The sequence below is a fragment of the Homo sapiens genome, chromosome 6 (assembly GCF_000001405.40).
Source record: "Homo sapiens chromosome 6, GRCh38.p14 Primary Assembly".
In the NCBI taxonomy this organism is placed as follows: Eukaryota; Metazoa; Chordata; class Mammalia; order Primates; family Hominidae; genus Homo; species Homo sapiens.
Window position 1 is genome coordinate 13633315 of NC_000006.12, and position 17640 is coordinate 13650954.

Below are 17640 nucleotides of genomic sequence, written 5' to 3' on the forward strand. Positions count from 1 at the left end.
TGAGCCACCATGCCCAGCTAAGAAAATAGTTTTATATATCTTGATTGATAAAATAATTTAACTGTATAAATTACTTATAAGTCATTAAAAATAAGGTAATGACGATGATGATGGTTAATATTTCCCAAGCACTTTGTGCTATTAGCTTTTTGGATTATTCATTTACTTTCACAATAACTTATGAGGTCGTTATTATACCCATTTTACAGATGAAGAAACTGAGACACAGAGCAGTTAAGTAATTTTTCCAAGGTCACACAGCTAGTAAATGGCAGTTTTGCAGAAATCAAATCTATGTAATCTGGCTCTAGAACTCCTGCTCTTTATCACTGTACTTAAATTACTCTTCAGAAACTGAGGTGGCTGATATTGAAGAGTAAAACAAAGCTGCATTTCTTTTTAAAAAACAATTTTAGTAATACCACTCAATCTCAAAATAATAAGAAATCTAACATTGCCATGGAATTCCAACAAATAAATGAAAAAATGTAATCCAACAAATAAATTTTCACTCTCCATTTGATGGGATAGTTTGCTGATGGGACAGGCAATTTACTACTTAAGTTGTCTACAAAATAAAATTATGCATGCTAATGTGTCTTGGAGCCACATAATTTTTTTGTTGGTGGTGGGGTTTTTTTTTTTGGTGAGGGAGGTCATACTTAAGCACCTACTATATACCAGGGATAGTACTATGCAAAGTCACACACGTTTACGTTAAACTCATTTAAGAAATACTGATTAGAAATTTGTAAAATCATCTAACCATTTGGCCTTACTGACTATACTGACATAAATATAAGAAGTTCTATCATCTCCAACCTAAAATAGCCTAGAGGCTCAACACCAGTAAGTCAGTACTGCTGCATTAGTGACAGCGCTAAACCTGAGCCTAAGCAGTTCAGCAAGAAACACTGCCTGTAGCTGAAAGGTAACTCTACTTTCTCTAGCAGCCCACTCAAACAAGAGTTTAAGTGCTATGCATTACTGTCAAGTCCTACAGCACATACATCTTTAAATCTGGTTTATGCTCATCAGCTGTGAATCAGTACAAGTAAAAACATAACCTTGTAGCCATCATTTTTTATTAAAAATGTAAGAAATATCACTGCAGACCCATTTCGGTGTCACAATCTTCCATTTCGTGGTCATGTTTAGAGCTACCATTTAGGAAACCATTGGATGAAGTTTCTCCAACTCCATTGGAGTAGTGATCTGTTTCCATGTCTACATCATTACTGAAAACGAAAAAACAAACCTAATTTTAGAAATATCATACTTGCAGCTTAGTTTAAAATAAATCACTACTGAACTACATAGCCTACGAATAAACTAATTTCATAAGGCAACAGAAATCTGCAAAAAAGGTATTTAGTTAAATCTTGAACGTATTCAAAGCCAAACATGTCGCTGACTTTTAACAAATTTGTACCCCCGGAGGTAAGGGAGGAAAAAAAGTACATATGCTAAAATGTAGTGGTTTTATGACTTTACATCAATATGGAGAAATCATACTTCCACACAATCCTATTATTTTTCAAATTCAGATCTGTACGTCTTCGTTAATCAACTGCTGCCCCACCAACTCCCCAGCCAGCCCTCTCCCCCTACCCCCAGCACTGATTTCTAGTATGTAAGGGGAAAACCTCACTCTCAAAACAAATACATCTCACTCCTGGAACCCGCTTCACCTCGTTCCGGACCTCATACTCAATCCACTCCTAGGCTGTTTTTAAATAGCATTCTGGCATTTGTCCTCACTACTTAAAAATATACATTCTTTCAAGGGTAACTGATAACTTAAAAAATGATTGAGCTTCATTCTCTCATCCCTTTTCACCACACGACAGAGAGTGAACTCACAGGCTATCTTATTGGCTAAAGTATTGCTGAATCTTAACTTTTAAACTGATGTCCTGGATAGTTTCCAGTTTTCACTCATTCCACTCAATGAATATCTATCTGCCAATAACTATATTTGCACATATTTAAGCTGTCAATGTATGTCCTTCAGAACCATCCGCACTCTTATAAGCAACAATAAATATCTAATCTTTAGGATTTATCCTATGGAAGCCTAGGTAATAATTATACAATCTAGAAGTAAACACTCGATGAAATTTTAGGTAATGCTTAGATAAAAATGACATTTCTCATTACAAAAGCAATATATATTCAATTGTAGAAAAAAAAACACAGATGAGCAAAAACCACTATGCGTAATACCACCAGAGGTAACAAATTCTAACACCTTGGGGGTGTGTGTGTGCATGCATACACTCCTGTTAGTAAAATTGTTAAGGTAAAAAAAAAAAAAACAAGAGATCTAGGGAAAAGGGGGATATGGCCCTACGACTCCAGAGCAGACTTACTCAACCAGGAAAGCTTGTTTATAATCTTAACAAACTTCGAAAATTGGTAAGAAAAACCAAACTTTAAGAATAAGAAAATCCTTACCATCACAGCTTTCAGTGGCTTTTTAAAAAATACTAAACTTTTTTTTTTTTTTTGATAACTCAGTTTAGTATTTGGAAGGAACTCGTTCATTTAACACACATTTAAGAGCCTCTGAGGTATGATCCCTGTTAGGTGCTAAGGATATTATGAAACAGCCTCTGCCTTCCTGTAGCAAACAACCTATAAAAAGCTAATTAAGTTATTATATTACAGAGTAATTATGATCAGTACTATGATGGAAGTTAATCACAAAACATGACATATTTGATGGGATGTAAATCAAGGAAAACATCCTGGAAGAACTGACATCTGAACTTGAATTTTCTCAGCCTGGACAGAAGTTATACTGGAGGTGAGGGAGGGTAGGAAGAAGAGCATTTCAGATGGTGGGCGGTATCAGGGAAAAAGCACAAGTTTGCAAGTCAAATCCTGAAACGCAGCCTCAGCTCTGCAACTTACTAGCTACTAATAATTGACCTTAAGAAAAAAAAGTCATTTACTTTTCTGATATCCCGCTCTACATCTGTAAAATGGTTTAAATAGTTAATACCATCTTTGCCTACTTCACAGTTAGGAAAGCCATTACCAACTACAAAATAACTTATAGCTTAAGGCAGTTCAAAGTTGACTTTCTTTCCCTTTTATACTGCAGACAAAGGAGGATGTTGTGTCATCAGACCCTTCCGTTAAGCTTGCTTCCCTGAACTCAGGTAATAATAGATCTGTTTAGCAACTTCCTGCTGTAGGGATAGTATTCAAGAGAAAAACTCACAAACTGACTGCAATCTTACCCTCAAACATTGGCAAGAGCCTTGATCAATGATAAAGTACCAATGCATTTAGTATAAAGCATGATGAAGTACTTAACTTTTTACATTTCCATCTATTTTTAAACTATAATATTTTGATTTTATATTTTCCAATATATCACCTCTGCTGTGAAAGACGATTTTTCTGCTCTTCTCATACACTTTTGTGGTTCTCCATTACAACTTATATCAATCACACACACTATTACTTCAGTAAATTTTTGTCACGTGTGACAGACAACCCAGAAATTGAGATTAATCTCCCAATTTTCAAATACAGATTTTTTTTTACATACAATCCTTTCTGCAAAATCATATTTCCATTAAGATTCCATGCTAAAAGTTAGGCTCTCTCTCCTTTAATAAGAAAATGTGGCACTGATGACCATTTCCTGAAAATGCAATGTAACCAACTGGTTTGTTATAGACCAAACCAATATTAAATTGACCCAGTCCTGGATGATTTGGGCAGGGTGAATTCACAATAATTTGCTACTGCACAGTAGTATTTAATTCAAATAATGTCACTTCATGAACTTTTAGGTTTCATAAATATTAAACCTGAGTATATCAAGGGTCATAGTACACTGACTGAGATATCATCTTTCAAACCTCTTCAAAGTGAGACACCCTACCTAGCAGAATGTTTGGTGCCCAACAAATCCTCAAAACCATCCTCACACCAATGTTTACTAAATGACTTAACCATCTGCTATATGCAAGCTACTTAAAGGCAGGCTTTCAAAAAAGATTATTTGTAAAGTTAGTTTTGAACTTGGAAAACATTCTACACATTTACACCAAAAAAAACTCACACACAGAGAAAAAATCAGTTGTAAATTTATCTTATGTCACCGTTCAAGGTTAAATATGCTACTGTGTCTTAACCACTGTGAAAACATAACAAATGGCATTTATGTGATCATTTGTATAGCTCTGTGGCTGGCAGGAAGACAATGCATGAAGCCCTGAATTTGTCCTTATAACTTTACTAGAGGGAAGAAGGTAGTAGAGAAGAGGAAGAAACTAAGGAAAGAGCTCATGTGCATAATAGGAGACTAAAAAGCTTTGGGGAACTGACTCCCTACGCTTTTATTCTCTGGGGGCTTAAGAACTCCCAGAGCCCCTCTGTGGGTCACATAATTCAAGTTCTTTCAAAATTATTACAACGATTACACCTATAACTAGGTTGCTTATATTAGTGCAAAAGTCAGTGAAATTACTTACCTGGTGAAGTTATTAACTTGCTGTGATCTTGACATATTTATACTGTTTAGTTCTGGTACATTCAAGTTGGATGACTGGTGTTTATTACTATGGCAATATGATTGATGTGCTTTATTTGATATTACACCATTACTACAACTTTCAAAACCTGAAGAAAAAGATACCACGTAGAAACAGAAACAAACACTAATTTATTAATACGGTTGTAAACAAGTCTCCATGTTGATTTTGTACTAAGACTTCTAGAACGTAGGAGAGTCAATGGATGATGTAAACAGGTAACTTCTTTGAAAGGATACTAAGAATACTTAATTGTGAGATCTTAATTATTACCTCATCTAACATTTATTGAAGGCTTAATTACACATCTCATTTAATCCTCAAAATCCCCCTAAAATGGCAATATTATGATCATCCCCATTTTACATATGAATACACTGAGGCTCAGAATTTATCCAAGCCTGAAGTGACTGTATGATATTCAAGAGGAGTAGTGGCTAAGAACAGACATGGGAATCACACTTGTTGTACAGAGTGGTGATGTAAATAAACTGAGAGGAAGTAATGCAGAAAAGAGAATAAATTGAAATAAGAAAAAGCAATGGTGTTACTTCATGAAAGGAAAGGAGACACTATCTGACTTGTTTAAGAATGTTAAATGTACAAAGATAACATCTTGGGAAATGCAGAATTAAAGAGATGGGCAAACAGAAGACTGAGAAGCATCAGAAATAAATCTGTGGCTGGGCACGGTAGCTCACACCTGTAAGCCCAGCACTTTGGGAGGCTGAGGCAGGAGCAGTGCTTGAGGCCAGGAGTTTGAGACCAGCATCAGAAACATTGCGAGACTCCAACTCTTTAAAAAGAAACAAAAACAAAACCAAAAAAACCTGTAGAAGTGATGTCACAAAAGCCAAGAAAGGAGAGAATTTTAATTAAGAGAAAGCCCAAAGTCACAGAGAGTAAGACTGGTGAGCCAACAAACGGATGGGAGAAAACGAACTAGGCAGAGCTGACTTTTGCAAGAGGCTTGGTTGGGAAAGGTTGGGGGTGGGGGGAGAGGAGGGAGGCAGCGGCAGCCCAGCTAGATGTGGTAACCAGTGGCATAAGGTATCACAGCCACATCACCTTTAAATTTATATTTTATTAAAACACACAATTACCTTTTCACTATTAAAAATCAATAATTTAATTCTGGTGACTACTCATTGTGAATGCTGACTTTCATTTAGGAAGGTCTGCTAATAACCTATTCTCAGACAGCTGTTCTTCAAGTGACTTCCTGGTACTGAGAACATGTCAATCTGAACCTACAATTTTTCACCCAGAAAAATCTTAAGTATACACATTTGAAAACAGCTACAAAGGAAATATACAGATTTTCTGAGACAAATGGAGTGTCCCTCTGTCACCCAGGCTGGAGTGCAGTGACGTGATCTCAGCTCACTGCAACCTCTGCCTCCAGGATTCAAGCAATTCTCCTGCCTCAGCCTCCCGAGTAGCTGGGACTACAGGCACCTGCCACCATGCCCAGCTGATTTTTGTATTTTTAGTAGAGATGGGGTTATCACCATGTTGGCCAGGCTGGTCTCGAACTCCTGACCTCGTGATCCGCCCACCCTGGCCTCCCAAAGTGCTGGGATTACAAGCGTGAGCCACCGTGCCCAGCTGGAAATATACAGATTTTCAAAAGGAAAAAGGTTTAAGATTATAAAGAGGAAAAATCTAAAAATAATGTCATAAGTTAAATCTCACCTGAAAAATGTGCGGTGCTTCCTTTGCCTGATGCTAAATTGTGGATATTCATTCCATGGCTGGGGCTCATACTTGGACTACTAAAAGGTCGAGGACTAACAGGATAACTGTCTTGAGACTTTGGACTTCGGCCTCCCAAACATCGTACTTCACTATCTGTACCATTCACCATTTCTATAAACTGACGCACTCTAAAGGAGAAAAGAAAAATTTACTTAGACACAATCTTCAAATGGCCTTTTATTTAATAGCAACAGATTTCTAAAAATATTTTTAAAACTTTGATTTATCAGTAGGATTGGTCTTTAGTAAGCTAAAAATATTAAATATGGTGTCCTATGCTTTAATGCTTAGAATTTTAGAATTTCCAGAAAAATGAGAGTACAATGTAATAGACACTATAATAATATTACCCCCTTTAATCAGGATTTACCAAATGGAAATTTACCTATAAGAAGATATGAACCCCATTTTTTTGGCTACAAGTAATTTAATCAAAATAACATTTGCGCTTGGTAGCAAATCAAATTGTGCCTAAGGACATGATTTTATGTATATGAGATACATATAAAGCGTAGCCTTTCTCCCCACCCGTCCCATTCCCAACCTCTTAACCAAAATGGGCCTCATTTAAAATTCTTATTCTAAAGCAAAACAATTCTGTCATTTGACTTACAAAGGATATCTGTTGCTTAACAAGTTGAAATCTGAAGCTCAGTAACATCTCATTTTTTAAGTAACAAAGATTCATAAAACCAATTAAAATTGTCAAATCAGGATGGCTATTATTAAAAAAAAATAGTTAAACATAGAATTACCATATGATCCAGAAAGTTCACTTCTGGGTATATAACCAAAAAAATCTAATGCAGGGACTCAGATATTTGTACACCTATGTTCACAGCAGAATTATTCATAACAGCCAAGAGGTAGAAGCAAACTTTAAGTGTCCATCAGTGGATGAATGGATAAACAAAATGCAGTATTATCCAAACAATGGAGTAAAATTCAGCCTTTAAAAGGAAGAAAATTCTGATACATACTACAATAAAGATGAACCTTAAGGCTATTACACTAAAATAAGCCAGTAATGAAGAATAAATACTCTGATTCTACTTATATGGGTAGTCAAATTCATAGAGGCAAAATGTAGAATGGTGGTTTCCAGGGGCTAGGGGGATGAATGGATGGTTAGTGTTTAATAGAGAGTTTCAGTTTGGGAAGATGGAGAAGTTCTGGAGTCGGATGGTGGTGATGGTTGCACAATGATGTGAATGTAAAAAATGGTAAATTTTATGTATATTTTACCACAATTTTTTAAAATGCCAGAGAGATTAAATGTAAGGTACTTCTGAGAAGGAAAAATAGACACCCATCTTCTAAATAAGATTTTCACATTTTTAAACACATAAATAGAATAATAAAAGCAAATACATAGCAAAAGACACCTTCTGCTTATGGTCCTTAACACAAAAGTATTTTTCATAACATGTTGCTTAAATGACATTACAAAATTGTATATACTTGAAAAACGAAAAAAACTAAAATTACAAAAGCACGAAAATGTCTTTTATTACATAACTTGACAAATATTTATAATATATAACAAATATAGCATTTTATTATGCAAACTCACTTTAATGTGAAAAGGAGATTAGGATTTCTTTCAAGTAAACTTGGGTATAACTGTTGTGTTGTTTCAATGGCTTCTCCCATTCTTCCTGCTAATACCAATTTCTGAATTCCTATTCAGTAAAAGAAAGCAAACGATTAACTTTTACAAAAGTAGATAAAACATAAACTTAGTGACCTCAGAAAAGAAAGTTAGTAAGAAATCTTTAAATAAATTATGATTAATTTCAATTTCTTTCTCTAACATCATAGTTTCCATTAGGCAATCCAGGAAACATTTCAGACATACTAGAAAATTAGAAAAACAAGTACGGTCACAAATTTTTTTTTTAAAATCACGAACATACGAGTAATATAGTTAAAATACCTATTATGCAATATTGAAGTTTCAAACACTGAGATTAAAAAGACTGTTTTAAAGGGATACTAAAATGCCTTATCAAACATAATCTTCTGAACAAAGGACTGAAAAATGCTAGCTTTTGACTAAGATTCCAATTTAACAGAGACTCGTTGAGCATTCACTTGATCTGTTATATGTTAAATTAGATGATAAGGATACAAAATGAGTAAGTGATCTCTGTTCAACAGAGCTTATTAAAATAGTAGAAAAGGACAGCACACAATTAACTACAACCCAATGTAATCAGTGCTATTACAGCAATTTGACCTATGAAATAGTTGTTTTCACCCATTAATTTCACCCATCTATTTTGTTTTCATCTCTATACTCTTGTCAAGTCATACCCACCCTGATGGACAAACAGCACCAATTTTAGGATGGCTAACTATGGACCAGTTATGCTGACTTGCCATTGTTATACAGGACCTGTTTTATCTCTGGCCACAGAGGCCAGCACTAGGATCTAAATAATAAATACTTATGGATCAATACTGTATTAGCCATTTAAATTCAAAGATATTTACATTTCTTTCACATACTATCTCCTCCAACTAATCAGGACTACTTTATTATTATTTTTAAATCTTTTTATTAAATGTTTATTTCCTGAAAGCTTAAGAAAACATTTAAGAAAAAAATGGTAAAGACATTCCTTCAAAAAACTTCTGTAAAATCTCTCTAGAATTAGAATTCTGACATAGTCCTATGTGAATTTTTAAACTGATCTTCAAAAATGTCAGTGAAAATAAAATTCAGAGGCATCCATTTTAAATTAATATATTTGAAATTTTTTTAATTAAAAAAACAAAATTTCTAAAAATTAAAGTAACCAAATCTATAATCTGAAAACAAATGTTAGCCATGCACCACAGTGTCCTTACTTTGTCTATTCTTAATGGAAGCTAATTCTTCTAGAACGGTCTGGTCTGTAGATCTGGCAAAGGCCTCTGCTGTGGCACAGTACCCATGGTGGACTAAATAAGATGAAACCATTCTTAAAATAAAAAGAAGAAACATACATCTTTTAGTGAAGAGAATACATGCTTCATACTACAATTTATATAAACAAAATCTATTCTGGTGTTATAAAAACGAACCTATTTCCTTGAAACAAGGCGTTAAGAACCTCACCTTTAAAGTAAGCTTTTGAAAAACATCATTTTGTTCTATTCATGTACTATTTTCGAAAAGATAACTGCAAATGCTATGTTGAGACTACTCTCCCTAAAATAAATATTACTTGAGAATCAAGGACATTAAATGACCTTTTCTTTGATTCTTGGACTCTCATTACCCCCAGGTCCCTTCCTATCTTATTATTCAGCCCTACTAACCATAATTTCTATTTTGACTTTATCATATGACTTATTCCAGTATTGCTGGCATTCTGTAAAATAACCAACTTTAAAATAAAAGATTAACTCTTAATGTTCCAGAGTTCAACCATCTTCTTTACACACCGGTTAAATGAAGTGGGATCACAAAGTATGTACAGAATACTAAGGTGAATCCAGAGAGACAATCTTCCAGAACATGTCTATAAGTGTACTACTAATTAAAGGAGGAATCAGCCTTCTAATCTAAATCAATTACTATGGTTTTACCCAAGAGATTTATCAAATATGGTTTACATGTAAGTGACACATTTCCAAGACAATAATCTTTTAAAAACGTACCAGGTAGTCAAAACATATACTTACATCTACCCACAAGATGTGGTTAGAAAAACTGGTGATGCAACAATATTAACCCAAATATCTGTTATCTCCAAACAGTCAATTTTTAAACTTGCCTCCACCTGACACTACTAAGGGCCAGTTAGAAAATCGTGGGAAGCAGTGGTTCACCACAGGAGGAGACTGAGGCAAAGAGCGGAGGGAGAAAAGGGAGGAAAATGTCTAAGAAACAGATCTGCATCTTATTTTACCCAATTGTTCAAATTAATTTAAGGGGGAGGGGACCTTTTAGAATGGACTTCTCAAGAGTTCATGGTGAACATCAAGTCAGTGAAGAAGTGGGTGGAAGGATCCTGGTTATAAGGTTAAGATAAATGTTTTCTACTATCTTGCCATGATACTCAGTGGTAACCATTTTCAGAGCATTAAAACAGTGTGGCCCCAGAACAACCCATTCTAGCTTCACTTCGTGGTGACTATAGGATTCTGCATCAGGGTTGTCTATTCTCAACTGGGCTGGACAAAAAAACTAGTGTCCAATCTCTGTAATACAGATGATAATAGCTCCAGGGACGAAGTGTGATTTCAGAGTCATCATCATGTCTCCCAATCACTTCCTTTTCTAAAAAATACCCCCAACATTTTATTACAATTTTAAAGTTAAGAATATTCAAAGCAATTATAAGGACATTAAAGATGAAATGTGTTGGACCAACTGTATCTGAAAGTCTGCTATTTTCTTGACCTGGATTATAATAGTGAAGAGGACTTTTTAAATTTAATGGTATTTATTTAAATTTTAAGTCCATACTTAACTACTGCTGATAGTTCAGATATTAAGAGCTTGGACATAGCCAAGTTCATGACCAAAAACCACAGATCCTGATTATAAGATCTAGATTATCTCTCAACTTTATCTTTTCCATTAACATTATTAAAAGTTAAATTGTATAACCTACAGAAATCATTAAATCCTATTACTAAGAATAGCAAATGAATTAACCTAGCCTAGGTGACCTAACATCATTTTATTTCCTTCATCAAATTAATTCAGACTGAAATACAATTCTGTACGTGTGTCAAACAATTGTTTTTAATTTGTTTAAATAGTGGAGTAAATTACTTTTCGTTGAGAGATTAAAATCAATAATATAATAGATATGTCAGTATATAAATTAGTGGATTAAAAAGCTTCTGTGGATACCAACAGAATAAATGTCTTATAAAAAACAGATTCTGAATAGCATCAATTGAAATTTCTTCACTCTTACTTTTGTATCATGGTCTGCCATTCTCCTTCTCGATCTCCGATAGGAAATCGATCTATCTGTGCCTGGATTTTGGTTCTCCACTCCCGCATATAGTCTTCTATATCAAACACGAAAGGATGTTGCCCAAAATTGGCATCGACCACTTCTCCTGGTGTTTGAAGCCCCACAGTAGGATACAAATTTGGCTGTAAGATAGCATATTTCATTAAACATCTATCCATTTTATGTTAGATTTAATAATTCTTTTAATGTTACATTTAAAAGAATAGAACTATAAATTTACTTCATATTTTAAAATCCCAATCAAAATATTAGAAGGCTAAAACAAATGATCTAAAATACATTATATGTTAGATGAAAAAATATCACTTCCTGCAATGTAATCATCAAGAAAAAACAAAGAGACCCAAGATCTCTGTTTTATTTATTCAGGGACTACGTTGTATTATACCACGTGGTATTATGCTACTAATATATGTGCATGTAATTCTTGTTCTAAGATTATGTCATATAGTAGTTACAGAAATTCAACTATAAACACATAACTCAGGTTTATCCCACATTTTATATATGATACATTTCTATAAACTGCATGTTAAAGCTAGTTATCATAAAAGTATGATCTCAGCTAGTCTGGCATTTAATAGCTTAAATTTACTGTTTTCATTCTGTATATTTGGGATGCCTAACTTTACAAAGGGAAGGGGATAAGACCATAACTATAAGCAAAACACAGTGCCAGGAAGAGTGGAGATTCTCTATATTAAAAAAAAAACACAAAACCTCAAATATATGTATTTCAAGGGAGGAAAAGGATGAATCTGAATATACCCAAACTCAGAAATGCATTCAGGTACACTCCATGGTTTCAAGGTTAATCAAGATGAAAAGGTGATAACTTCAAGTAAACAAAAAATACAGGGGTCATTCTTTTGGCTATGTCACTAATTGGTTGTTACATCTAAAGGCAGAATGAGTTTCTGAGTGGCTACTAAATGCCAGGGTTTAATCATAATTCTGTGAGGCCACTATTATTATTTCTACTTCAAAGACAGAGAAAATGAGGATTCAAGGTTAAATAACTTGCTCATGGTCGTTCTGCTAACAAATGGCAGAGATGGAATTGGAACACAAGTTTGTCTGATACCACATCCAAAACTGATTTTTCCTCTTGCAACTCCAAATCCTACCATATTTTCATTTTCTGTATTTATGTCTTATATCTTTAATAGTTATAACAAGTATTTTTCAGTACAAAACAAGGTAAAGATCAAGAGCGGATAATTTCTGTGTGAATATGTTAAATAGATTTCACAGTAAAATGCAAAGAGGGTGTGTTTAAAAACAACCGTTCAATCAAGCAGAACAAATCAGAAACAAAATATTACATCAAAATATCAAAAATATAAAGTACTACTGGATTATGGAAATAAATGGTTAAAGCAAAGTATGCAAATGTATTGATTCTTAATAATCAACAGAGCTAACAAGTTTATAAACTTTTAAGCCAAAAACAGGTGAGATAGTACAGCCTTCCCATTTCACCAATGAGAAAACTGAGACCTAAAGACTTTATAGAAACAGGCCAGGCATGGTGGCTCACGCCTGTAATCCCAGCACTTTGGGAGGCTGGGGCAGGTAGATCACCTCAGGTCAGGAGTACAAGACCAGCCTGACCAACATGGTGAAACCCCGCCTCTACTAAAAATACAAAATTAGCTGGGTGTGGTGGCGCATGCCTGTAATCCCAGCTACTCGGGAGGCTGAGGAAGGATAATCGCTTGAACCGGGGATGGGGAGGTTCTGGTGAGCCGAGATTGTGCCACTGCATTCCAGCCTGGGCAACAAGAGTGAAACTCTGTCTTAAAAACACAAAAACAGAAACAAAACAAAACAAAAAAACAGAAAAAACACTACAGAGTTATGAGATACTTTAACACAAAAGCATATAAGCCAAACACAATTGAGTGAAAGACAATTCTGTTCATTAAGCAGTTTATAATGATGATATTCAGTATTGTCTAAATAAAGACATTTTTAAAATGACTGCTCATCTAAATTTTCTTACAAATTCAGAAAAAATAATTCTATCAACACTATCAAAGACAATCAACATTCATGAATTCTCTGATAAAACTATTTCATAAAAATTTAAAACTTCCCTATGACAAAACATGCCACAAATGGCAAAGACAAATGACTCTCTAGAAAAAAAAATCTGCCACACATATGGCAAAATGTGTTTTACAAATACAGAAAAAATTCAGGAGGACAAAGACTACCAGTTCAAATTCTTAAAAAAGGCAATGAATATGTAGGCAATTTGTAGAAGAAATAAAAATGACAACACATAAAGAGAAGCTTAATCACACTCAACTTTTTAGATGAACATTTTTAATGCGCACTTAAAAATAAAATCAATTAAAAGTTCAAGATTTAAAAACTTTTGCACATCAGATTAAGACTTGAAAGGCTGAGAATACCCAATGCTGATAAGGGTTGGGGAAATAACCCTTTCATCTACTGTACACAGAAATGTAAACTGACATAATCTTTTAACAAAGAAATCTGGAAAAATCTATTAAAATTGACCAAGTAATTTCACTTGGAAGAGTGTATTCCTACAAAAATAAGTATGTGCAAAGATATGTCTTGTAGCATTATTTGTAACACAAACAAAATTTTAAAATATTCACAGATATGTGATATTATACCATATTCATCAAGTCTCAAAATCTAATAGTAACAAACATCACTATTTTGTGTCTAGGAAAACATAATGCAAATTAAACTCTGACCAGTCATTGATTCTACAGTGCATTCTCATTTCAGAAATACTAAAATATGAAAAAAATGTACATTTTATAATTGATCAATTGTGGTAGTAAGTTAATAAGATAACATAAAGCAGGCAAAAAGAACAGAATGAAAAATGTATATATGGACACAGAAAGATGTCCTATACACACTAAAGCAAGGTATAACATATTGTATATGGTATGACCCTATCTTTCACATAAACATTCAAAAAATGAACATACTGGCTTATATGTGTTTAGAAAGAAGTCTAAAAGGATATATATTCAAGTTAAAACAAACATTATAGCCAAAGAGACTGGGATTATGAAGAACTTCTCTTTTGTACATTTCTGTATATATAAACATTTCTCATTTAAGTATTTAATACTATACATTACTTCTGTAATCTGATATTGATTAAAAAAACTTTTAGTAATATTAAGTCAGTTTTGGCTCACTGAAAAGTAAGTATAATTGTTATACCATTTACTCAACCTTAAAACTGGAGAATTGGGAGAAGAGGATTAAGGACATAGTCCTTAACTTGCTATATTACAGATTTTAAAAAACAACGGCCTTCAATGTTTTTTAGTATGTTCACAGAACTGTGCAACTACTGTAATTTAATTGTGTAACAATCCCATCACCCCAGAGAGAAACTCAGTACCCATCAGCAGCCACTTCCCATTTCCCCGTTCCCCCTGGCAACCACTAATCTACTTTCTAACTCTATGGATCTGCCCATTCTGGACATTTTGCATAAATGGAACAACAAAATATGTGATCTTATATGACTGGTTTTTTTTTTTTTTTTTTTTTTTTTTGAGACGGAGTCTCACTCTGCCGCCCAGGCTGAAGTGCAGTGGCATAATCTCGGTTCACTGCAACCTCTAACTCCCAAGTTCAAGCAATTCTCCTGCCTCAGCCTCCCGAGTATGGGACTACAGCCACATGCCACCACTCCTGGCTAATTTTTGTATTTTTAGTAGAGACGGGGTTTCACCATGTTGGCCAGGATAGTCTTGATCTCTTGATCCGCCCGCCTTGGCCTCCCAAAGTGCTAGAATTACAGGCGTGAGCCACCGCACCCAGATGGCTGGCTTCTTTTATTTAGCATGTTTTCAAGGTTCATCCATGCAGCAGGTGCATTGTCACTGTAGATTTATATGTAATAATGTCTTCTAGAAAAATACTCCTGCCCATGTAGAATAGTATATAGACAGAATAGGTTCTTTATGAAAAGAATAGGAAAACATTTCTATTAACTTGCAAAACATACTTTCAATCTAGAAATTGCTTAAAAGCTAAATGTACACAATATAAATTTATATTCTCAATAGCACAGCTTTGGTCTACATTCGATCTCTTTTAATAAAAATGACTATACAAATAATGTATCCACAAAAAGTAGATTTCAAGTCAGTGCCCAGAATTCGAAAACAGCATCATTTAAAATGAGAACAGCTACTGTAACAAAAGCCTTTAAAAAGCAACAGCCTTCAATGTTTTTTAGTATGTTCACAGAACTGTGCAACTATCATAATTTAATTGTATAATTAAATCCCAAACTGAATTAGTTATACTTAATGTCATTTCTCAAACTGGTGAGGTAAGCTGAGGAAAAAAGACTATTTTGAAAAAAATCTAAGGTTTTCAAAGCTGTATAAACACTTATATTCCATAACAGGTGCAGAACAATCTAGGTAAACTGGTTTTTCTGCAAATATACTTTCTCTCAGGATTCAATGGTATGGGTAGCTTGTGAGAGATCACAGGTATAGAAGATATAAACACTTCCTTGATGCTTCCTTTAAAAGGAAGAATTGATATGAAGCCTATGGAAGTCCCAGAAGATTTACAGTATTAAAAATGAAAAATACTACACTAAAAGGAAACCTAAAACCACCACTGTACCCATTGTTACAACAAAGTTGCACATGATCATTGGCTACCTGAGGGAAAAAACATAACTGGTGATTCAAAAGTGGGAGAGAAAATAAACAACATGTCTACAAGCAACCAAGCTTTTTCCAAATGATCTCCGCTATCTATGAACAAGAAAACGAAAGCTAACAACAACAAAAGCTCACGCTGACTAGTTGCTTAGTGCCACAACAGAAAAAAAAAAAAAAAAAAAAGTCACTAAACTCTTTAACCAACTCCAAATGAAACTTACAGCATTCTCACCAGTCTCTTAACTGTTAAAGACCAAATCAACCCACTAACCAGAATCTGCACCTACACACTCTGCCTGTCCCCACAATGCTCTTCTCAAAAGCCCATCCCCTCAATTACACATCTGTCTACCTCTTTCTATGCGACACCGACATTTTCATCAGCATACTCAATCTCCTAACTTAATTTTTTTTTCTACTGCCCCCACTTCCACCACTGGCTACTACTCCATTTCTTTACTCCTCACCATGGCCAAAGTCCTCCAGAGTTATCCACTGCCTATAACTCACCTATTCCTAAAATCCATTCCAATCAGGATGTCTCCATCCCACAGCTGAAACTTTCTTGTCCAGGTCACCAACGACCTCTACTCTGCTAAGTACAATTGTCAATTCTCAGACCTTATGTAATTTTCAGATCCAATCCATTAGCCAATTCTCTTGGTTTTCAGTTGGATTTTTAAAAGAATCATATTTTTGTTACTATTATTTTGGGATTTTTAAAAATTTAACTCTTTAATCCATCTAGAACTTACTTTACACTTTGTCCTAACAATATGTATTTTAAAAAAATAAATAATAAAGACTCATTCCATCACTATTTACTAAATAATGCGGCAGGGTTTTTTGTTGTTGTTGTGTTTTTTTGTTTTTTTTTTTTTTAGTAGAGGTGAGATCTCATTATATTGCCCAAAGTGGTGTTGAACTCCTGGCCTCAAGCAGTCCTCCCACCTCAGACACCCAGAGCCAAATAATGCTTCTTGAAGAGTACTTTTGATCGGTAGGGTTCAAATATTCCTTGGCTTAAAATTATTTTCTATTATAATTTTGATTTCTGTTTTTTCCTAGCATTTTATTAAGGGATATAAATAGTCTATAGATTTGGTATCTATTCTCTACCTCTGAATCTTCCATCATCTCTTTCAAAACATCTCTGAAAACTGGAATGCATTTTATAATTGATGACACCTTACTATGGTCAGGCAGCTGTCATGACACAGCTGTCAATGCCTGCACAGGAGCGATTTGTTAAAGAATGAGCTCACTGAAAAACTCTTGGGACTGAGTTGCTTTTCCTGATGAAATTTTCATTTTCGTGATATTGGTTAACATCATGAAAGTGACAGTATCAAACGTGCACGATGTAATCAGCAGCTTGGAGATTAATCCCAGAGACATAATAAGAGTAATCTTAAAAAATGTTCTTGATGACGGAGAAGACAGTATCACATAGAAAATCATGGGCATCAGCCTCGGCAACCTGGCGAAACCCCGTCTCTACCAAAAATACAAAAAATCAGTCGGGCATGCTGGCGTGCACCTGTGGTCCCAGCTACTTGGGAGTCTGAGGTAGGAGGATCCCTTGAGCCTGGGAAGCAGAGGTTGCAGTGAGCCAAGATCACACCACTGCACTCCAACCTGGGTGACAGAGTGAGA

The 17640-nt window shown here is 34.6% G+C and overlaps 1 protein-coding gene across 4 annotated transcripts in view; it reads right to left on the bottom strand.

Moving 5' to 3' along the window:
• RANBP9 (RAN binding protein 9) overlaps nucleotides 1–17640 on the bottom strand; it is a 90338-nt gene that overhangs the window by 11817 nt on the left and 60881 nt on the right. For 3 of the 4 annotated variants that reach the window (NM_005493.3, XM_047418032.1, XM_017010149.2), the window contains exons 6-11: nucleotides 11231–11415; nucleotides 9165–9277; nucleotides 7885–7993; nucleotides 6249–6439; nucleotides 4494–4641; nucleotides 1117–1238 (exon numbers count right to left, since the gene is read on the bottom strand). In NM_005493.3, the coding sequence (NP_005484.2) occupies nucleotides 1117–1238; nucleotides 4494–4641; nucleotides 6249–6439; nucleotides 7885–7993; nucleotides 9165–9277; nucleotides 11231–11415 (868 nt within the window). The remainder of the gene's footprint in view (nucleotides 1–1116; nucleotides 1239–4493; nucleotides 4642–6248; nucleotides 6440–7884; nucleotides 7994–9164; nucleotides 9278–11230; nucleotides 11416–17640) is intronic. The other variant, XM_011514205.3, reaches the window with a different exon arrangement.